This window comes from Homo sapiens, chromosome 2 (genome assembly GCF_000001405.40).
Source record: "Homo sapiens chromosome 2, GRCh38.p14 Primary Assembly".
NCBI classification, from domain to species: Eukaryota; Metazoa; Chordata; class Mammalia; order Primates; family Hominidae; genus Homo; species Homo sapiens.
The window spans coordinates 193720809-193745972 of record NC_000002.12 but is presented as its reverse complement, the minus strand read 5'-3'; the positions used below and the strand labels follow the sequence as shown (position 1 = coordinate 193745972).

The window sequence follows — 25164 nt, the reverse complement described above, 5'->3', positions numbered from 1 at the left end:
ATTGCATTCCTGATTTGGATTTCAGCTTGTCTATTATTGGTGTATAGGAAGGCTAGACAATTTTGTATGTTGATTTTGTATCCTGAGAATTTGCTGAAGCTGTTTATCAGCTTAAGGAGATTTTAGGTCAAGACTATGTGATTTTCTTGATAAAGAATTATGTCGTTTGTAAACAGGAATAGTCTGACTTCCTCTATTTCTATTTGAATGCCCTTTATTTCTTTTACTTGCCTAATTGTTCTGGCCAGGTCTTCTAATACTATGTTGAACAGGAATAGTGAGAGAGGGCATTTTTGTGTCTGTTTTCAAAGGGAGTGCTTCCATCTTTTACCCATTTATTATGATTATGGCTGTAGGTTTGTCACAGATGGATCTTATTATTTTGAGGTCTGTTCCTTTAATACCTAGTTTATTAGGAGTTTTTAACATGAGGACTTATTGAATTTTATCAAAAGCCTTTTCTGTACCTGGTAAGACTAAGACTATCATGTGATGTTTGTTTTTAGTTCTGTTTATGTGATGAATCACATTTATCGATTTACGTATGTTGAACCAAACTTGCATCCCAGGGTTAAAGCCTATTTAATAATAATGGATAAGATTTTGGATGTGATGCTGGATTCAGTTTTGAGTATTTTGTTGTTGTTGAGGATTTTTGGATTGATATTCATCAAGGATATTGGCCTGAAGTTTTCGTTTTTGTTGTGTCTACTCCAGGTTTTGCTATCATGATGATGCTAGCCTCATAGAATGAGTTTAGGAGGAGTCACTTCTCTTCAATTTTTTGGAATAGTTTTAGTAGGAATGGTACTAGAGCTTCTTTTTAAAAGTAGAATTTGGCGCTGAATCCATATGCTCTTGAGGTTTTAATTTTGTTGGTAGGCTATTTATTACTGACTCAATTTGGAAGCTTGTTATTGGTGTGTTTAAGGAATTAATTTCTTCCTTGTTAAGTCTTGAAAGGGTGTATGTGTCCAGGAATTTATTTATTTCTTCTAGATCTTCTAGTTTGTGTACATAGAGGTATTCATAATTTTTTTTTTTTTTTTTTTTTTTTTTTGAGACGGAGTCTCGCTCTGTCGCCCAGGCTGGAGTGCAGTGGCGGGATCTCGGCTCACTGCAAGCTCTGCCTCCCGGGTTCACGCCATTCTCCTGCCTCAGCCTCCCAAGTAGCTGGGACTACAGGCGCCCGCCACTACGCCCGGCTAATTTTTTGTATTTTTAGTACAGACGGGGTTTCACCGTTTTAGCCGGGATGGTCTCGATCTCCTGACCTCGTGGATCCACCCGCCTCGGCCTCCCAAAGTGCTGGGATTACAGGCGTGAGCCACCGCGCCCGGCCAGGTATTCATAATATTATCTATTTCTGTGGGATCAGTTGTAATACTCCCTTTGTCATTTATAATTGTGCTTATTTGGATCATCTCTCTTTTCTTCTTTATAAATGTAGCTAATGGTCTATCTATCTTATTAATTTTTTCACAAAACTACCTCCTATATTCATCCATCTTTTGAATTTTTTTATGTCTTGATCTCCTTTAGTTCAGCTTTTATTTTGGTTATTTCTTGTCTGATGCTAGTTTTGGGGTTGATTTGCTCTTGGTTCTCTAGTTCTTTTAGATGTAATGTGAGGTTGGTAAATTGAGATCATTCTAACTTTTTCATGTGGGCATTTGGTGCTGTAAATTTCCTTTTTAACACTTCCTTGGCTGTGTCCCAGAGATTCTATTGTGTCTTTGTTGTATTTTTGTTCTCATTAATTTCAAGGAATTTCTTGCTTTTTGCCTTAATTTTATTATTTATTCAAAAGTCATTCAGCAGCAGGTTGTTTAATTTCTGTAAAATAGTATGATTTTGAGCAGTTTTCTTAGTCTTGATATCTAATTATATTGTGCTGTGGCCGAAGAGAGTGTTTGCGATTATTTCAGTTATTTTGCATTTGCTAAGGACTGATTGATGTCCAATTATGCGGTCATTTTTAGAGTATGTGCTAAGTGGTAATGAAAAGAAGGTATATTCTGTTGTTTTGGGTGGAGAGTTCTGTAGATGTTTACCAGGTCCATTTGATCCAGTGATGAGTTCAGGACTTGAATATCTTTATTAATTTTCTGCTTTGGTGATCTTTCCAATACTGTAAAGTGGGGTGTTGACATCTCCCACTATTATTGTGTGGGAGTCTAAGTCTCTTTGAAGGTCTTTAAGTCGTTGCTTTATGATTCTGGGCGCTCCTGTGTTGGCTGAATATATATTTAGGATAGTTACATCTTCTTGTTGAATTAAACCCTTTATTATTATGTAATGCCCTTCTTTATATTTTTTGATCTTTGTTGGTTTAAAATCTGTCTTGTCTGAAATTAGGATTTCAACATCTGTTTTTTCTCTGTTGTCCATTTGCTTGGTAGATTTTTCTCCATCTTTTTGTTTTGAGTCTGTGAGTGTCTTTGCACATGAGATGGATCTCTTGAAGATATTATATCATTGGGTCTTGGTTATTTATTCAGCTTGCCATTCTGTGCCTTTTAAATGGGCATTTAACCCGTTTACATTTATGATTAGTATTGATATGTGTAAATTTGATCCTGTCATCATGATGTTAGCTGGTTGTTATGCAGACCCGTTTATGTGGTTGTTTTATAGTTTCACTGGTCTGTGTACTTAACTGTGTTTTTGTAGTGGCTGGTAATGGTCTCTGGATTATAGGGTTTCTGCTGAGAAGCCTGCTGTTAGCATAACAGGTTTCTGCTGAGAAGCCTGCTGTTAGCATAACAGGTTTCTGCTGAGAAGCCTGCTGTTAGCATATAGGTGACCTGATCTGTCTCTCTGGACGCTTTTAACATATTTTCCTCCATTTTGATTTTGGAGAACCTCATGATTATGCGTCTTGGGGATTATCTTCTTGTGTAGATTCTTTCAGGGGTTCTTCATATTTTCTGAATTTGACTGTTGGCCTCTCTAGTGAGGTTGGGGAAGTTTTCATGAACAATATCCTGAAATATGTTTTCCAACTTGTTTGCTTTCTCCCTGTCTCTTTCAGAGATGCCAATGATTCGTAGATTTGGTCTCTCTACATAATCCCGTATTTTGCAGAGGTTTTGTTCATTCCTTTTCACTCTTTTATGTTTATTTTTGTCTGACTGTCTTATTTCAGAGAATGAGTCTTTAAGTTCAAACTTTCTTTCCACAACTTGGTCTGTTCTGCTATTAATACTTGCCATTGCATTGTGAAATACTTGCAGTGTATTTTTCAGATCTATCAGGTGAGTTAGGTTCTTTCTTTATACTGGCTATTTCATCAGTCGGCTCCTGTATTTTTGTGTGTGTGTGATTCTTAGTTTCCTTTATTTGGGTATTGTCATTCACCTGAATCTCAATGATCTTCATTCCTATCCATAATCTGAATTTCATTTCTGTCATTTCAGCAAACTTAGCCTTCTTAAGAACACTTTTTGAAAACCTAAAGGGGTCTTTGGGAGAACATAAGACACTGGCCATTTGTGTTGCCTGAGTTCTTGCATTGGTTCTTTGTCATCTCTGTGTGTGGGAGTTCCTTTAACTGCAGTGTAGATTGAGTATAGTTAGTAGACTTCTTTTCTGGATATTTTCACAGAGCTGAGGCTTAGTGAAGGGTTTTTATTTGTAGCTGACTTCTTGTCTTTGATTTCACAAGGGGGTGTGTTAGCAAGGTTATTTTGGTGTTGTCGAAGCTTTGGAGTGTGATCCAGTAGTTGGTGCTTAGGTGTAGTGGTCAGTAGGTAGGTTCTTAATTAGTGGTGGCTCCCCTATATTTTTTTGCATTTGCAATCATGCTCCCTCACAATGCTCTAAAAGTATGGGCTCCTCTCCCACTTGAGTGCTGGCTGTAGATCGTGGCTTAGCACTCTCAGCCTGCTCATCTTAGCTCTGGGGTGAGCTCAGTGTTTATGTTCCCCGTCCAAGTTGGAGGCAGCAGAGGAAGGGACCTTACCACTGGTTGTGGCTCTCACTTTTCTATTTATTTAAGATGTATCATTACATTGTTTATTTGAAGTTTTTCTTCCTTTTTATTTTAGGCACTGCTATCTGTAAACTTTCTTCTTAGTACTGCTTTTGCAGTAACCCCTAGTTTTTTGTACAGTATGTATCCATCGTATGGAGCTCCATTGTATTTGTTCCTGTTGCTGCTTTTAGAAATCTTTTTTTTTTTTTAAATCCTTGGTCTCTGGAAGTCTAACTGTTAAATGCCTTATCATTTGTTTCAAGAACTGTTTTTAATTTTCTTAAGTTGTTCATTGAAACATTGGTCATTCAGGAGTATTTTGTCTAATTTCCATGTATTTGTATACTTTCCAAAATTCTTCATGTTATTCATCTCTAGTTTTATTCTATTGTGGTCAGAAACAAATGCTTGATATTATTTCAGTTTTTGAATGTTTTAAGACATGTTTTGTGACTTAACATAGGGTCTATCCTTGAGAATGATTTATATATGCTGAGGAAAAGAATGTGTATTCTGCAGCTCTTGAATAAAAACTTCTGTACATATCTATTAGATACTTTTGGTCTATAGTGATTTCAACAGCCTACTTTTAGAATTGGACAGATTTTCCAGGAAATCACCAAAGAAACATTGTCCAATTCTAAAAGTAGGCTGTTGAAATCTACGGCTGTTATTGTATTGGCATTTATCTCTCCTTTTTCCTCTAATAATATTTGCTTTGTATATCTAGGTGCTACAGTGTTGGTTGCATATATATATTTAAAATTGTTATATCATTTTGCTGAATTGATCCCTTTATCAATATATAGTGACCTTCTTTGTCTCTTCTTATAGTTTTTGTCTTATAATCTATTTTGTCTTATATGTGTATAACTACTCTTGCTCTTTTTCAGTTTCTATGGACTTGGAATATCTTTTTCCATCCCTTTATTTTCAGTCTATGTGTGTCTTTATTGATGATCTGTGTTTTTGTAGGCAATCGATCAATGGGCCCTGTTTATTCATTCATTTGGCCATTCTTTGTCTTTTTATTGGAGAATTTAGTCCATTTACATTCAATGTTATTACTGATAAGTACAGACTTACGCCTGCCATTTTGTTATTTATTTTCTGGACATTCGTGGTCTTCTCTTTCTGTTTTCTTTCCTTTTTGTATTATTAGTGAAGGTAATTTTATCTGGTGATTATGATTTATTTTCTTGCTTATTATTGTTTTTGAATCCATTGTATGTTTTTTTGGTTTGAGGTTACCATGAGGCTTGCAAATACTATCTTATACCCTATTATTTTAAGCTAATAACAATTAAAGACTTTTTGCATGAACAAACAAGCAAAAAAATTATAAAAACTCTATGCCTTAACATAGTTCTTCTGCTTCTTTTTAACTCTTTTTTTGTTTCTATGTATATCTTCTTGTACTCTCCATGCCATGAAACATTATTGCAGTTATTATTTTTGATTGGCTTATTGCTTAGTTTTTCTACTTAGTAAAAGAGTAGTTTACACACCACAGTTACAATGTTATAAAATTCTGTGTACTGACTATTACCAGTGAGTTTTGTACCTTCAGATGATTACTTATTGCTCAGTTAACATCCTTTTCTTTCTGATTGTTGTACTCCCTTTCACATTTCTTGCAGAATAGGTCTGGTGTTGGTGAAACCCCTGAGCTTTTGTTTGTCTAGGAAGCTTTTTATTTCTCTTTCATATCTGAGGGATATTTTCACTGGCTACACTATTCCAACATAAAAGTTTCTTTGTACTGCAGCACTTTAAATATGTTATGACACTTTATCCTGGCCTGTAAGTTTTCCACTGGAAAATCTGCTGCCAGACATGTTGGTGGTCCATTGTAAATTATTTGCTTTTATTTTTGTTTTTGATTTTTCTCTTCCTGCTTTTAGAATCCTTTCTTTATCCTTTGTCTTTGGAAGTTTGATTATTAAGTGACTTAATGTAGTCTTCTTTGGATTAAATCTGCTTGGTGTTCATAACCTTCTTTTACTTGGATACTGATATCTTTCTCTAGATTTGGGAAGTTCACTGCTATTATTATTCCTTTGAATATTTTTGTAGCCCTACCTCTTTCTTTACCTTCTTTTTAAGGCCAATAGTTCTTACATTGGCCCTTTGGATGCTATTTTCTAGATCCCATAGGTGTGCTTAATTGTTTTTAAATCTTTTTTCTTTGCTTTCTTTGACTGTGTATTTTAAAATAGCCTTTCTTTAAGCTCACTATTTTCTCTACTTGATCAATTCCGTTATTAAAATACTTTGATATATTCTTTAGTATGTCAATTGCATTTTTCAGCTCCAAAATTTCTGCTTGATTTTGTTTAATGATTTCAATCTCTTTGTTAAATTTAAATTTATCTGATAGAATTTTGAATTCCTTTCCTGTGTTATCTTGAATTTCTTTGAGTTTACTCTACACAGCTATTTTGAATTCCCTGCCTGAAATGTCACATATCTCTGTTTTTTTCCAGAATTGGTCCCTGGTAACTTACCTATTTCATTTGGTGAAGTCACGTTTTCCTCAATGGTATTGATGCTTGTGGATACTCATTGGTGTCTGGGCATCGAAAAGGTGGGTACTTATTATAGTCTTCAACATCTGGGCTTGTTTATACCTGGCTTTCTTAGGAAGGCTTTCCAGTATTTGAAAGGACTTGAGTGTTGAGATCTAAGCTGTATCTGCTTTAGGGAGTGCCCAAGCCCAGTAACACTGTGGTTCTTGCAGGCTCATAGAGGTACCTCCTTGACGGTCTTAGATAAGATCCAAGAGAATTATCTGGATTACCAGGCAGAGACTCTTGTTCTCTTCCCTTACTTTCTCTCAAACAGTTTCTCTCTCTCTGTTCAGCGCCACCTAAAGCTGAAGGTGGAGTGACACAGCAGCCCTGTGGTCACCACCAGTATGCCTTTCCTGGGTCAGACCTGAAGCTAGCATAACACTGGGTCTCACCCAAGACCTGCTGTAACCACTCCATGCCTACGGCTTATGTTTGCTCGAGACCCTGGGGCTCTACAGTCAGCAGGTGGCAAAGCCAGTCAGGCCTGTGTCCATCCCTTCAGGGGGTGATTTCTCCCAGGCCTCATTTGGGTGCAGAGGTGCCATCTGGGAGTCAAGGACTGGAGTCAAAAGCCTTAGAAATCTACCTAGTGTTCTATTGTACTGCAGCTGAGCTGACACACACACCACAAGACACAATCCTTCTCACTCTTTTCTTTCCGCAAAGGCAGAGCAGCCTCACCCCATATCCACCACCACCACAGGCCACAGGGAGTACTGCCAGACTACTGCCAATGCTTCCTTAAGGACCAAGGGCTCTTAATTCAGCTTATGAATGCTGCCTAGCCTAGGACTCACCTTTTATGTCAATGAGTTCCCCTCTGGTCCAAGGCACATCCACAAATGCCATCTGTGAGTCCTGACTTGAAACTGGGAACCCCAAGAGCCCACTTAGTTATCTACTTCTCTGTGGCTGAGCTGGTACCTGAAGTGCAAGACAAAGTCCCCTTTACTTTATCCTCTGCTTTTGTCAAGCAGAGGGATTTTCACCCCATAGCCACCACAGTTGGGAATGCGATGAGTCTTAACTGAAGCCAATAAATCTCAGAGGCTTACCAAAGTCCCTCAGCATAGTACCTGGGCATTGCTGCTGGTTTTGTGGGGGCCCAAGGGCTCTTCAGTTAGCAAGTGATGAATGCTGTCAGGAATGGTCTTTCCTTTCAAGGTGCCAGGTTTCCTTCTACCCCAGGGTGTGTCTAGAAATGTTGTCCAGGAGCTGGGTCCTAGAATGGGAGTCTCACAATTTCGTCCAGTGCCTTATCCTTCTGTGGCTGAGCTGTATCCAAGATGTAGGACAAAGTCCTTCACACTTTCTTTCCTCTGCTCTCATCAAGTGGAAATAAGGGATCTTTTTTGGAACCACAAGCTGTGCAGTCCAAGAGTAGGGAAGGGTTGATGTCAGTACTCTCTTAGCTACCCGAGCTGGTGTCTCAGTTGGTCCCATGACCCCAAGTCCACTGCCTCTGAGCCCACTTCAGGCCTAGGACTCACCTAAGAGTTGCAATCCTTATGACCCAGACTGCCTTTCAAGTCTACTTCGAGACCAAGAGAACTTTAGCCCTTGGTGGCAAGGTCTGTGGGAACTCAAGTTCTGACTGCTGGGATCTATGATTCTGCTCTGGCTAGGGAGGGTTTACATGCTCCCTTAGTGTGTGGGCCCCAGTTTAGTTTGGTCTAGTTTTCCTTTATGCTCTGAGTTCAATAACTCACAATTGCTGTATTCTCCCTCCTCCAGTGCCAGAGACACTCAGCACCATGTTGCCACTGCCCAAGGATGGGGAAAGGGTGGCATCCAGCTTCAAGACTGTTTTTTTCTACCTCTTCAGTGCCTCTTTCAGAGAAAGAAGTTAAAACAGATACTAGGAGGGCTCAACTAATTTTCTGTTCTTATGAAGGTGTTCTTTTTGTGTGTATATAGTTGTTAAATTGGTGTCCTTCCTGGGGGAGATGATTGGTAGACCTTTCTATCCCACTATCTTGCTGCTTCTCTGTGAGTGTTATTTTTGAAATTACATCACAAGTGCAATGAATGTAACTATATTTAATATTCTTTTCTTTATATATAAGGATTTAGAAAAGAGGCAGGTGGAACACCTTGAAGGATAGAAAATAGCAAATAACCTGGACATTTCTCCAGAGTAATCACTGAGTTTTTACCCAAATGTGAGCTTGAAATTGTGTTGGTTTACTTCCTCAGGCCCAGAACCTTTGCACACAGAATTGGATATTTCTCTCATAATGCTGAATGTGATTCTAAAATTTAATGACATTTTATTTTTTTATTTTTTTGATACCACAGAGAACCTGCAAATGTAACTACTTCAGCTGTTGCAAGACAGAACTAAAGGGCCATGTCTTTCAACGATAAGGGAAACTTGGGTGAGTTATTTCAAGTGTCCAAGAAAAACATGTAAGTCTTCAACATGGCAGCTTTCTAGAAATTTCAAGAGTAATTTGATTTTAGGTGGTTTCTACATTGGATTTTAGACAAAGGATTTCCAAAAAATAATTTTGCTTAGTTATTTGATTACCAAAAGTAATTTTGATGATAAAGCTGACTCTCCCAAAATTACCAACATCACAGAATTTAAAAAGAAGAGTAATTTCTCTTTGGTTATAGCAACTACCATCATTATATTTCATTATAATGAATATTTGCTAAACCAGTTCATGTGTTAGGTGCTATAATTCTGCTCAGAACTCCAATATCTTGAAAGAAGAATAAAATACAATATGCTGTTGCACTTTATTACCTTCATTAGTTTGTTTTACTTGAGCCTATATTTCTGGTGAATATTACACAATGTTGTGTTATATTATATTCTCTTTTTTTGTATTCCAGTTTCTTTAAAATTGCCCAAACATGTTTCTTTTGTACTTGCATGTGTATATTTCATATTTACATATGCTGGCATAATCTAAGGGAAGTAAAAAACATATTTTGACGGTATTTAGTTCAGTGTATCAATGCATAGTTTTGCCAATAAAGATTTTTATAGTGTGTGTATTTTTTAAAAATTTTATTCTTGTCAGTATTTCCCCATAAAATTGAGAAATGTTATATTTTGCAACCTCTATGCTATTTTATCAATGCATTTTTGTAATGTAACATAATTTTGTAGGTGCCATGATGGCTTTGAAGGGGATCAATTTATTTCCTCAGACTCCTCTCAAAATATCAGGTTGACTCTCAATCAGATTTGAACTGGCTGGAGATATACTAGGCTGCTAAAATCAGTTTACCAGGTCTACTTCATTGTTGAGTACAATTTCCATTTTGACATATTGAAGAATATTAATGAAATCAACGTAATGATAATAAATCATTTAACAATCCTTTAGTATTATACTATACTGTATGGTAACAAAAATCACATTTAATAGCATTTAAATGCTTAAATAATTTTGTATATTAGACCAATATAATTTCTAATTCAGAATAAATTTAGATAAAGAATAAATAAGTACATAAGAAAAGTATTAAATTCTGCTATTATTATCTGAACACTTGGTTTTACTTACTGTTTTTATTACCTTAATGATTAAAAGGTGTTAATAAAAGTAAACACATATTTCTCCCCAATGTAATATATTTTTTCCTTATTATCTGTGAAATAAAGCAGATACCAGTCATGTTATGAAATCATAAATTATTGATTTTGAGATTTTAAATATGATATAAATTTACTAAAAGAATAAATTCATAAGAGACTTAACCGAAGCATTTTTGGAGCAAAATAACTTATTCTTTTTCTTAAACAATTAGAATATGTTTTTATAAAACACTTAAGATTCCAATGGAGGTAAGTATTTAATACATCTTTAACATATTAATGTTTAAACCATACTTAGGAAAACTTATTAGCTTTTAAGATTTCTTCACCATTGTGTTGCAATAACTCTGACAAGTATTTAATTTGGAAATTTTAAACAACTAGTATTTTATTAAAATTCCGTACAATATGATTTCAACTATCTTAAAGTGACTTGTCTTAAAATACCAACATTGAACCATTTATGTTGATTTCATTATGAGAGAACAAATATGCAGCTAAAGCTGTTTTGCACAGTACAATAAAAAAACTTATGGGAATTGAAAAATTTGAAGCCAAGCACTTTTCTAGTTCTGACTTCTGAGTATGAATCTAAAGCCTGAGGCAGGCTGCACTGTGCTCCTGTTCATATCATATCAGTCACTGCTTCAATTAATTTTGTTAAGAGTCCCCAGATATATTAAAATGCACTTCATCAAAATGCAATAATCTTTTCTAGTTCTTTCTAGCTGAAACATATTTGAAAAATCAGGACAAGAATGCACACTTTAGAATACCACTGTTATCAGTGTTATAAAAACCAATAAAGGAATAAAGCAACAATCAGTTTGCCAACAAAATAAACTCAGAAAAAGATAACCCGAGAGAAAATGTTTTACATATATTGTCTTAATATCTTATTTGGACTTCTCAAAAAATTTTGCTAACAATCAATGCTCTATTAACAGTTTTGTTAAAATTATTATTCTATGGATTGAATTACTCAGGAATAAATTATTCAGCCTCTTAACATAATGCAGTGATTACAAAAATTAATAATATGCTGTTCTTATGCCTTGGAGATAGAATGAAAATAACGGTGTAACCTGGAGCTATTTTAAGGCTATTTTTGTTGATTCCACTTGAAGATTGGCCCATTACCTTGGCATGCATTTCGACATTCTACCATTGTCCTACAATTTTGTGGTGTTCATTTGTCACACTGACAGAAACCAGTTTAAAATTTAAATCCATATCCCTCCTGAATCCCGTAAAAGAGTTTGTAGTCCAAAACCTCTGCAATGACTGATGATACTCCTGTCAGGTGCCAGTAGATGCAGCAGAATTGCTCAACAAGTTTCTTAACAAGATAAACAGTAAGGCAAGTTACAGAAAAACAAATGACTTATCATAAGGTTGCTTCCATGGCATTCTTCATATTTGTCCCTTAAAGTTATTTCCACAAATAAAGTATTTCAAAAGTAGGAAGTATTCTTACAAATAGATGTATCTTTAATTCTCTCCTAGCTCATTTAGTTTAATATTTGTAAAGAAATTACACACAGTTGAAAAATATTATAAAATATTTCTCAAAATATGCCTTAATTTATACAAACTATTTTTCTATCTCAAAGATATAAATTGACAGCATTTCATTTTGTGCTAACTTTACTATGAGTTTATTCATAATTATGACCTAGTTATCCCTATGGATTTATAACATCAAGACTATTACTCATAAAAATGTTTTCTCTTTAAATCTAGGGTCTCTCAAAATCTAACCCAAGGAGGATTATTGCATATTCTCATGTCAACACAAGACAGAGTACAATGTGTATTTTTTTCCCCAACTTCACAGTTAAATCTACAAAAGTCAAAAAGAGAGTGTGACATGGAAAGAGAGAGCTATATTAAGTATTTTAACAAGGCACATGAAGTTCTTATGTTTATCCCCTCCCCTTCATGTGAAAACATCTGCATTCCCAGGTTAAATCATTTGGCATATGCATTTTACCTGGTCTAAGTGGTCTATAGTCTGAAAAACATGAAAGTTTATCTATTTGGACAGTTTAACCATTGTAGTACTATCTATAAAAAGTTAAACTTCCTACATATCATATATATGCTCACCCTTGTTACATCTGTCTATTCAAACAAATATAGCCACTGGAAAAACAAATAAGGACTTATGATCCTGAGATTGCTACAAGCTTCTAGATATCACATGCAGATATGCACCATACTATATTACCAGGGGAGTTCTAAAGATAAGCTTACTTATTAACATGAGTCTAATTGCTTTAAATCTTTTTAAATAAATTAGAAAATTAGATTAGCTCAAGGTTGTGTATATGCTTGTTCTTCAATTATAACATCATATTAGTTATACCTTCTTAGGGAATTTTAAAGCTTTAAGATTTAATGCCTATAATTCATATAAAATTGTATGAAAATAAAAGGAAATAAATGTAAAGGTATATGTTGATATCAGAATGTGACACCTGTATTACAGAAAAGCAAAGCAGACAATGATTACTAAGAACATTTTTTGCAGTAACACTTTAAAAGAACAAATGGTCATTAATTAATATTAGAAGTACAGTTTTCTATTCATCTGTAAAATGCATTAAAATTGCACAGGAAAAAAATCCATGATTAGATGTGCAATTATATTGATTCACTAAACATGAATATACTACTAATTCACTGAATTAGCCAGAGCTTATAATATAATATCTCTAATGGAATAAAGTCGAACTACGTGGAATTAGTTTCTTAAGACAAAAAGATATATACTCTGGAACACATACTCAAAATATATTGCAAAGATTTCAGAGGCTAAGTGAAGAGCTGTGAAGTTTCGATGCCACCTTTGACAATTAACGTTCCTGAAAACAATGTCACAGTAGTGAAAACTTCATAAGAAAGGTGTGTCATTCTTGTCTTTGAGACAAAGTTACCACCAGAAATGCGGCTTCATTAAGTGAAGAAGAAAAGAGAAAAATCAGGGGTTCTAATAGAAAAAACATAAATATAATTTTATTTGCCATACCCAAGATTAATTAAGCCTAGTGTTCTCATAGTGACAGTCCAGAGTATTGTACCATTCTACACAGCTATTCTAAAAAGAATTCAAAACATAATATTCCTTAAATAAACTCCCCTTTCCCTGTATATATTTGTGGGGTACATGTGATATTTTGATACAAGCATACAATGTGCAATGATTAAATCTGAGTATTGAGATATCTGTCACCTCAAACACTTCTCATTTCTTTGTGTTAGAAACATTTCAGATCTACTCTATAGTTATCTTGAAATATACATGCAATAAATTATTACTAAATGTAGTCACTCTATTTTGCTACTGAACACTGGCTCTAATTTCTAGTAACTGTATTTTTGTGCCTATTAACCAGCTCCTCTTGACCCACCCTTCCCAATACCTTTCTCAGCTCTTGATAACCATCAATCTACTCTTTACTTTCATTAGATCACATTTTTTTTTTTTTTTTTTGAGACAGAGTCTCGCTCTGTTGCCCAGGCTGGAGTGCAGTGGCTTGATCTTGGCTCACTGAAAGTTCCGCCTCCCAGGTTCACGCCATTCTCCTGCCTCAGCCTCCCAAGTAGCTGGGACTACAGGCGCCCGCCACCACACTGGGCAAATTTTTTTTTTTTTTTTTTTTGTATTTTTAGTGGAGATGGGGTTTCATCATGTTAGCTAGGATGGTCTCGATCTCCAGACCTCATGATCCGCCCGCCTCGGCCTCCCTAGATCACTTTTTAAAACTCCCATATATGGTAAGAACATGTGATATTTGTCCTTCTGTGTCTGGCTTATTTTATTTAACATACTGACCTCTAATTCCATCAATGTTGCTACAAATGACAAAATTTTATTACTTTTATGGCTGAATAATACTCTATTATGGATATTTGTGACATTTTCTTTATCTTTTTATCTGTTGATGGGCACTTAGTTTCATTCAATATTTTGGCTATTGTGAATAGTGCTGCAATAAAAATGAGAATGCAGATATCTCTTTAATATATTGATTTATTTTCTTTGAATATGTATTCAGCAGTTGGATTTCTGGATCATCAAGTAGTTCTATCTATAGTTTTTAGGGGAACCTCCATATTGTTCTCGATAGTGGTTTTACTAATTTACATTCCTACCAACAGTGTACAAAGATTCATTTTTCTTCACATCCTTGTTAGCTTTTTTATTTTCTATCTTTTGGATAAAACTTATTTGATTTATATTTCTCTGATGATTGGTTATGTTAAGCATGTTTTCATATACCTGTTGGCCAACTCCTTGCCATTTGAATAGTTTTAAAATATTTCCTTCCATTCTGTAGATTGTCCTTCATTCTGTTAATAATTTCCTGTGTTATGCCAAAGCTTGTAAGCTTGATGGGATCTCATTTGTCCATTTTTGCTTTGAGTGCCTGTGCTTTTGAGGTCTTACTCAAGACATCTTTGCTTAAATGTCCTGAAGCATTTCCCCAGTGTTTTCTTCTGGTAGTTTTATAGTTTCCAGTCTTAGATTTAAGTCTTTCATTTATTTTGATTTAATTTTTATGTGGCAAGAAATGGGGGTTTAATTTTATTCTTCTGCATATGGATATCCTGTTTTTACAATACCATTTATTGAAGAGATGTATGTTACCACAATGTATATTTTTGTCAACTTTGTCTAAAACAGGTTGATTGTAAATGCATGGATTTATTTCTGGGTTCTCTATTCTGTTTTTCCTTTACTTGTAATCAAGGATATTTTCATTATTCTCACTACATAAGTGTTGTTGATTTTGAATTTTAACTATCCCATACTTGAAAACTCATGTATGAGTTACTATTTTCAAATGTCTCCTACTTTCAAAGTCATCTTTTTATTATTTTCATTGCTAGAATGATTTATGAATGTATGGTCTTACACCTAGACTATTGCAATATTCTCTGCTGTGTTTTCCCAGTCTCCTATGTATCCACATTAATATTTTGACCCAATTGCCACTGAAATAATTACTATAAATTACCATTATGGACACAACCCTGTTCAAAAATATTTGATTGTCTCCTCAAATGAAAGAACATGGTTTGGGCATCTTAGCTGGTACAGGCAATCATGGATCATGTAATACAGTTTGTTGAGCCAAGTTGGCAGTTTGTAAAGGACTCAGTTCAGCTGGTTAAAGATGCTCCGAACCTGATAGAAAAAAATTTCAGAAGATTGCCATGGCAACAGCAATAAGATTTGCTATAATGGGATTCATTGGATTTTCTGTGCAATTGGTTCATATTCCTATTAATAACATAATTGCTGGTAGCTGAATATGTTTTGGAGGAGTGTTTTCCATCTTAGGGATGGGTGAACAAGTGAGGGTTTGAGAAGCTCATGGAGTGAAAATTTGCTGAATATTTTGTGGTTTCTTCCTTTTTATTTCTTCCAAGATGTTTTCTATTTCTAAATTAAAATAACATGAAAAGAAAAAGGAAAGAAGACAAAGAACATTGTTTAAACACTTAGAACAACATTTAAAGATTTTCATATCAGAATTTGTGGAGGCTGTACAATGCAAAATTACATTTTCAGTAATAAAAGTCATTGTGTAAGAGGAGGATCTACTATCAAGGCAAGGCTGTAACGAAGGAACCTTTGGCAGTATAAATTGTTGGGCTGCTGAATTTGTTATTTATCCCATATTTGTTTTGTCTTGTGTCATATTATTTTCACATTTTGACTTTCCTTTCATTAAAGATGGTTTTATAAAGAAGAAATCACCAATCATTTGAAGGCACTGGCTCTTGTTATCTTTTGAGAATTGTTTAAAATTATTGAAAACTGTTTGTTGGCTGCCCAGGATGATAGAGGAAGAGACATGCTATTAATTTGAGGACTATAGTTTAAAAGAAGAGAGGGATTTCTTGGAGTTTAGAAGCCCAGGATTGGTGAATATATGAGGAAGCACATTGTATTGGTCTGGCTTCTCTAAGTAGACAGAGCTAATAGGATATGTGTATATATGAAGGGGAATTTATTAGGAGAATTGACTCAAAAGATCACAAGGTGAAGTCCCACAATAGGCCGTCTGCAAGCTGAGGAGGAAGGAACCCAGTCCGAGCCCCAAAACCGAAAAAGTAGGGAAGTCAAAAGTGCCCCCTTCAGTCTGTGACCAAAGGCTCAAGAGGCCATGACAAATCCCTTGTATAAGGCCAAGAGTCCAAAAGCTGAAGAACTTGGAGTTCTTATGTTTAGGGCAAGAAGCACCAGCATGGGAGAAAGATGAAGGCTGGAAGATTCACCAAGTCAAGTCCTTCCATGTTCTTCTGCCTGCTTTATTCTAGCCATGCTGGCAACTGATTAGATCGTGCCCACCCAGATTGAGGGTGGGCCTGCCTCTCCCAGTCCACTGACTCAAATGTTTATTTCCTTTGGCAATACCCTCACAGACACACCCAGGAACAATACTTTGCACCCTTCAATCCAATCAAGTTGACACTCATTATTAACCATCACACACATTATGGTGGTGTTGGATAATAAGGCTTCATGAATATTTGCATGTTTCTGCATGGTCAGGGCTTTCAGAGCGAAGAGTACTGGTATCTTGGTTTAAAGAAGGTTGCATGGGAAGCATGTCTTTGAAGTTAGAGATTTTTTTTTCTTGCCAATGAAAAGTAAAATTGCTTCTTCCTTGAATCCTTTTGCTTACCTTCTAAGGATAATGAATCCCAAGTCATTTGTTTATATTTTAGAGTAGTAAAAGAGAATTAAAGACCTTCTCCTCAGCCCCCTTCCTTCACTCTTTCTCAGAGAGGATGTGTTTACATTCCAGAACAAAGGCCTCCCTCACTCTTCTTCAGCGGGAGAATGGTGTAATGTACCAGCTTCCCTAAATAAGCTCCAGGTTTTATATTCCCAGATGCATTTTGTCTGGTGCAAAGCCCTGCATGTACAGGGGACAGAGCATGTAGATTTTGCTACCATTTTTTCACTCTGTGGGGAACTGGTGCATGGGCAGCCACTGCTTCTCAGATTGTTCTAGGTATGAGTAAATAAAAGGTCTGTTCTCTGATCCAGAAGTATGGTGTTCCTATTAATAGATACAGATTGATAAAAACAGAGATAGAGATATACACACACATATATAGAGATTTATATATTTTAGATACACTTCATATATACCATATATGTACATATATATGCAGGAATCTATATATATGTGTGTGTGTGTACATATATATGTATATGTGTGTGTGTTTGTGTGTACATATGTGTGTTTATAAAATTGTGGCAGTTATATTAACAGGGTAATATCTCAAATCCTGCATAATTTCTGATTTAACAGTTGGTAGCAAGAGCTGCCTGAGGAAAGAAAAATTCTAGGTCCTGAAATACAGTGCCTGCTATATAGAAATAGAGTAGAGACTACTGGAAGAAGTAATTAGGGAAATAAATGTGAGGTTTTGACCCATAACAATAGAAATTCCCCAATACTTGGCATTAATTCTACCTCAGTCTCCTGCAGTTACTAAAGTTTCTCAATTTTAAAAATTATAAATGTATAAATGTCTTTCAGATGAATTGGGGTTATGGTTAGATATACTTTGAATTGACAAAATAAATTGTGATATACATATCACAATTCATATATATATATATATATATATATATATGTATGTATATGTGGGAAAGAAATACAAGCAGAAGACTTTAGTGTTCACATCCAAAGTAAATTGAAACTGTGGTTCTTATGTCAATTTTAAAATAATAGTTCTATTTTAAGTAACTTTCCACTGCTGAGCTACACATCTATACTTTCTATTGTGATTCTGCCCTTGATGTTGGCAAAGGTAATATCAGGGTCCTTATAAGAACCACAAAAAAAGAAAGCACTCTAGGAACAGATGTAACAAAGGAACTAGTAGAGGCGAAGCCCTGATGCTTGAAATATAACGACACGACCCAAAGGTCTAGTCTCCATTATGTTCTCATTTGGGGCAGAATTTCGCTACATCTCTTCAGCTAACCTTGGAGACAATAATAGTATGGTGGATGTAGAGAAAATTGATAATATCTTCCACCTTTCATAGGTTAGCCTGGGAGCTCCACTGAGAGCCTGAGCTCATTCTGAGAAAATTATTTGATGCCATAAATGACCTTCCTATACCTAATAAGGGAACAAATTAAATAATTCATAGTGAACAAAAAATAAATGACCTCTGCATGTCACTGTTAGCAACTTTTTATTTTTCCATACTGAATGACTATGGCTACAAGTCTTGCTGTGTATACTCTTTATGCTGCTTCAGACATCTTTTAAGAGAATTGCATGGTAAACAACTGCAAGATCCCTAAAAGCTCACAATTAACATAAATAGAGGTTAATTATAGCTACCCATAAAGCTTTATTACAACCTAGCAGAGAATAAAACTGATCTGAACATTTTAATTATTGTATACATTACAATTATCTAGTCAGGATAGTAGTCACTGCTCAATGGGATTGGACTAGTGTTCTGGATTTTTCAAACAGTGATCTGTTTCATAAACATAATGGCAAAACTTAAAGATCATACAGCTTCCACGTTCATGATTTTAGCTGAAACATCAGCAACTGAATATCATGTAAAATAGGTGCAAAAGGAAAACATACAGGTGTTTTCTTTTTTGTCTTATTATATTATCTTGTTTTGTCTTGTCTTATCATCTTACAAATTAAATTGATCTTAATGCTTGTTTTTAACAGGCTAAAATCAGGGATCCCTACATGTCCTTTTACATATTTATAGATCTTAACACTAAAGAAGCTCCAATAAACATCCGATAAGTAGGATTTCACCTGTAAATCACATCAGTCTATGCAGGATTTGTAAATATTTCAAATTTTTATTCAATGTTGGATTACAACAGAATGAGCTAAAAAATTTAGGTCAGTTGTTGAGAAAAATACAGATAAAATATTTCAATTAAGAAATGTCTCAAAAAGTAAGGAATACAACAAATATTGTATTACTGACAATTATTGGTAAGTTATAGGCAGTTTGAAGATTATTAGGAAGGACTGGAATCAAGGTAACAGGAGATAATTGAAAACATTTTTAGAACTATATCATAGGAATTTTCCACATCTAAATATGATGTTTGTTTCCTAGGCTTAAGATTAAAAGTTCTGGTAAGAGCTTCTAAATTATTTGTTAGATCACATGCCCTTTGAATGTTTAGGGAGGGATGAATAGAATAGGCACCTCTGCTAGCCCAAGTCTTTTGCTAGCTCCTTAAACTTTTACCTTGAAAAAATAATTCCAACTCTATTACAGTATTTGAATAACTCTTGTATTTGACTGCAATGATAATGGTAATGCAATTACCTTTGACATAATTGGTTTAGGAATCAACATCCTAAGTGTGGTAGATTGCAAAAATGGCTACAATTCCAGCATGCACAACTTTTTGTCATTTGACTTTGAAACCATCAAGAGCTGTGTTCTATCAAGAGCTTTATATTTCTGAATTTATTGCCCTTAATCTGGATTTGGCCATATAATTCACTTTGGTAAATGGTACAATAGTATTTATGATGCAAGCAGAGACATGAAACATACATATACTCTGTAGTGGGACATGCCATCTTTTGCTACTCTATTAAACTCGATGATCACCTCCATGTGAAAACCCCCCAAAAATTTCTGAAGATGAGCAGCCCAGTTACTTCCATCAAGCTTTTCAAGAACCAAGCTGACCACTATATATATGGATATGACCATAGACTACCAGCTGACTACAGGTGCAAGCTCAACCGACAACCAAGTAGGTTAGAAACAAGTCATGCAAGCTTATCCCAGCCTAAGTTGCTCTGCACTTTGGGAGGCCAAGGCAGGAGGATCACTTGAGGTCAGGAGCTCAAGGCCAGCCTGGCTAATGTGATGAAACCCTGTCTCCACTAAAAACACAAAAATTAGCCGGGTGTGGTGGTGTGTGCCTATAATCCCAGCTATTCAGGAGGCTGAGGCAGGAAGACAAGAGAATCACTTGAACCCATGAGGCAGAGGTTGTAGTGAGCCGAGATCATGCCAGTGCACTCCAGCCTGGGCTACAGAGTGAGACTGTCTAAAAAAAAAAAAAAAAAGAAAAAATTTTGCTCTGTCATCTAAGTCATCTAAATATAAGTATTTAACACCTTAAACATTTCTCAAAAGGCTGAACCTATGCAATATGATGAAATATTATAGTATTAATAATTGTTACATGATATTATTAAAATAAAAATAAGTGCCAAGTAAATATCAAGATTTGAGTGAAAGTCAAATATTTGAGTAGAGTTTCAATTATATGTTCGTACATAGTCCAAAATATGTATAAATTATGCATAAAATATATATAATGATTTCTAATATTAAAGATTTATGGTAGGCCATAAATATGCCACGTCCTTGCCCTAATCCACAGAAACTAGTGTTAATTTATATGGGAAAAGAGACTGCCAGTGTGATTAAGGACCTTGGGACAGAAAGGTTATCTTGGATTATGTGGGTGGTTCTGATTTAATCAAAGGAGTCCTTATAAGAGAGAAGTAATTAGAAAGACAGAAGAGATGTTAAGAGGGAGGTAGTGATTTAAAGATGTTATACTGCTGGCTTTGAAGTTGGAAGAAGGGTAAGCCCAGAAATGTGAGAAAAGAAACTTTAGAAGCTAGGAAAGGCCAATAAAAGGATTTTCACCTCAGAGCCTCTACAAGGAATAAGTCTTGCCATTAACTCAGTGAAACTGATTTAGAACTTCTGATTTCCAGAACTGTGAGAGAATTCATTCGTTTATGTCACTAAATTTGTTGTAATTTCTTACACGAGCAGTAGAGAATTTTTAAACTCTCTCGTGTGTATGAGCTTCAAAGTTTCACCGAAATAGTTATGTGTTTCATTGCTGCTTGATTTCAAATTCTTGTGCAACTCAATTTAAATTTGTATTATTGATTTTTTTGTTTAATATTATCTGACACACTTAACATCTAAATATGCTTCAATTTTGACATGTCCAGATTTTCTCAACAGGAGGGCATTATAAAAGAATGTCAGATACCAGTCAGTAATAATCTACTCAATGTCAGAATGATCAGTAAACTACTGTCTATAAAATTTACCAGATGCTTGGATGAGAGAAACTGTGTTTAGAGTCTTGCCTGCCTGCAGGAAACATCATTGAAAGTCAAAGCAAATCCAGAGAGTTGGTCTTCCAGGAACAACTGCCCGCAGAGACCTTTTAGACTGTGGAAAACATATTTTTGTGGAAAACATATTTTTGTGCAATAGAGTTTCTATTAGACCATATACCTGAGGCACAAACCTAGGGTCTGGGTATTTGCCACTGCCTGGGAAAATAAACAGAATAAAAGAATTTACTGTGCAGGTCATAAAATCCTTTAGGCAAGTAAGTTATTTGTTTGATTATTAAAATTTTCAATGGAATGTGCAATTTAGCTAGAAGACAATGAAATAGTAAATAAAAAGCCTCAAAATATTGCGTTAAATATTGAGAGTTTATCTTTCTCTCAATCACTGCAAGTCTTTTTTTAGGAAAAAATTTTAAAAATAATGAAGGTTGTATTATATATATAAGTGTATATATATATCTCATATATATCATATGTATGTATGCAAAAGTATATATGTATATATGTGTATGTATATATCTATATCTACATATAGGTATATATATACCTACATATATATCTTAATTTATTTTACCAAAACTTCACTGACAAAATTTGGGTTGTTTCCAATTGTTTTGCAATAACAAATAATGTGATTAATATCCTTACAGAACTGTCTTTCCAAATTTCTGTAACTATTTCCCTAGGATCCACTTTTATTATAGATATGGAGATACATTTGTAGGTTTGTTACATGGATATTTTGCTACCACGTAGTGAGCATAGTACCCAACAGGTAGTTTTTCAACCCACAGCCTCTGCCTTTCCTACCTCATCTAATAGCCTGCAATGTCTGTTGTTTCCATGTTATGTCCATGTGTGCTCAGTGTTTAGCTCCCACTTATATTCTTTTAGAGTAGACTCATTATTTTGGAGGACTGGTATTGAAATGAGTGCTCAAGAAAGTACTCAGACATTTAATGTCCTAACTGATTGGAAAAAGCCTTCATTCACAGCTTGCTTGTTTTTTTTTTCTGAGATAGAGTCTCACTATGTCGCCCAGGGTGGAGTGTAGTGGCGTGATCCCAGCTCAGGTGACCTCCGCCTCCTGGGTTCAAGTGATTCTTGTGGCTCAGCCTCCCGAGTAGCTGGGATTACAGGTGGTGCCGCTATGCCCAGCTAATTTTTGTATTTTTAGTAGAGATGGAGTTTTATCATGTTGGCCAGGCTGGTTTCAAACTCCTGACCTCAAGTGATTCTCCTGCCTTAGCCTCCCAAATTGGTGGGATTACAGGCATGAGCCACCATGCCCCCGGCTTCACAATCATTCTGTTTTTGTTTTTTTGTTTGTTTGTTTTTTAGATGGGGTTTTGCTCTTGTTTCCCAGGCTAGAGTACAATGGTGCAGTCTTGGCTTACTGCAACCTCCGCCTCCCAGGTTCAAATGATTCTCCTGCATCAGCCTCCCAGGTGGCTGGGATTACAGGTGCCCACCACCGCACTTGGCTAATTTTTGTATTTTTAGTAGAGATGGGGTTTCACTATGTTGGCCAGGCTGGTCGCGAACTCCTGACCTCAGGTGATCCACCCACCTAGGCCTCCCAAAGTGCTGGGATTACAGACATGAGCCACCATGCCCAGCCCACAATCTTTCTTGAAAACTACTAGATCCATAACATTTCATTTTAATTTTTACTCTGCTATTTTCTTTAAAGTCATGTTTTAATGTTGAATATTTGGCTCTCTTGAAAATGTAGACAGAGTGAAAACCATGAGTTTACAAGTGTCTTTCAGATAAGGAAAAGGTTCCGGTAATTCCTGTTAGTACTTTGATGAAAGAGAAAGAGCTAGCCTCTCTTTGCCCTCATGTGTTGTACTCTATCCAACAGCATGTATTTATTCAAAAAACAGTAATTAGTGTATGTAAGGCACTAATAAATGCTTGGAATTTATTCATTGGAATAAAAAAATAAAAGAAGATGAAACAAACAATGAGGTGTAGAAATAAATTAGAAGAGAACTTGTTGTGTATTTTAATAAAATTTTTAAACAACTACTGGAAAATCCAAATGCAGTTTATTCCAGTGCTGTCGTACTCTGGGTGAAAATTGGTTTTACTTAAATATGTCCTTTATTTCTCAATAACTTACACGTTGATAACCAACAAGAAAGCAGTTAATAAATCAGTTCATTATTTTAGCAAATAGTCATTCACTAATTTCCTCCAAAGTATTAGATAATATTATGCAGTATGGAACAAAAATATTATGTTTTATATACATTATCTTTCATACACAGTAACCTATTTTGAACGTAATTTCAAAAAGATTTTGGGGTATAATCCTTTGTTGCCAACTTAATTCTGTAAATTTTAATCTGGTTAATAAATCTTGATATTGGTGTTTTCAGGCTAGGACCTAGTAAAACTATTGAAAAAAATTATTAATTAATGTAGTACGGGGATGTAAATGCATAATTTTGATTATTCAAACCTCATTATAAAATTTAGTCATGCATGTTGATGCAATATAATGATGACCAAAGAAGTCATTTTGTTTACTGCTACCTTAAGGTACAGATATTACTAGTTATTTGAAAGAATGAGGAGTCTAACAACTATTCATCATTCTGTCACAATTCACCACTTGTAGCAGTTATGGAGGTGCACTCTTCACACCTCTCTCAAGAAAGAACTTGACTTTCAGCTGTGAAATATGGGGTTTACTGACAGTGTTAAACTGTAGAGCCTTCTAGGATCTGCTACAGCATTTTCATCTAAGCCATCCTCTTCTAAGATAGGTTACGAAAATCAATGAAGCAAGGACCGATACCAACGTCTAAACTTATTTTAACTGCTTCTCCTTGGTATTGGCATTGTAGCATTCTACATTCCTGATTTTTTTTTCTTATTTTGCAAAACCAAAGAAAATACTTCACTTTGTGGCAGGAGTTAATTTCTGACCCACTTTAACTAAATCAATATAACAGTCTCCAGTGTTTAGGTCCACTGGTTAGAATATTTCTCAATTCTTTCTAAGGCATCACACTTAAGTACAAAGGGCACTGCACCTAAACATATTGTTGGCCATTAAACTTGCAGGCATTCTGTAAAGAAGGACATGAAATTAATGGACTATAAAATTTGTCTTCAGAGAATTTTAATTTCATAAGTACAGCAATAAAGGTTATGTTATTATTTTTCCTACATCCAGCTTTTGTTCATAACTGTATGACTAAAATGTAAAGGTTATCTACCAGTAGACACAGGTCTGCATATTGAAGGATAGTTCCCTACAAAAACAAAGTAATTATGCTATTATTAAAATATAAATAATTAAGAACAACAGCAATAAACAGTACTTTCTATAGTCTAGCTCATTTACTTGAACTTTACATTTTACCTTAATTCTTAGAAAATCTCAAAAGAGTTTACTATTCACATTTTATATATGAAATGAGGGTACAGATTATTTACATACTTCTAGTAAATTCGATAACCCCTCAAGAGGCAAAATCAGGATTCCCATTCCATTAGATCTAACATTAGAGTTTTAGATTTTCTTCACTATGCCACACTGATTCTCAACATATTTATTCAACACAGTATTTATAGAAAAGGTTTATCCTTGATAATCCAGCTTTATTCTAATATTAGCTTTGGATTTTCATTAAAAGATTGATTTCTATCTCCCACTAAATCAAGTTTAAAACACTTCCATGTTTTGTTTTGTTTTGCTTTGTTTTGTTTTTCCATATGAGCTAGGCCTGCATTCTGGTTTGGTATCAATGACTCCCTTAAACACATTCTTCTCTACCCCATCTCAACATTCACTACCATTCACCCACCTTTTGATATCTATAAATATTTTAATCATCGGAGAATAAAACTTTTACAAATAGCACTCTTTCCCAAGTCATGAAAGGT

At 35.0% G+C, this 25164-nt stretch overlaps 1 pseudogene; it reads left to right on the top strand.

The window, feature by feature from the left end:
• The first annotated feature begins 15215 nt into the window (after positions 1-15215).
• Positions 15216-15421, top strand: SEC61GP1 (SEC61G pseudogene 1; annotated as a pseudogene).
• Positions 15422-25164: the final 9743 nt, after the last annotated feature.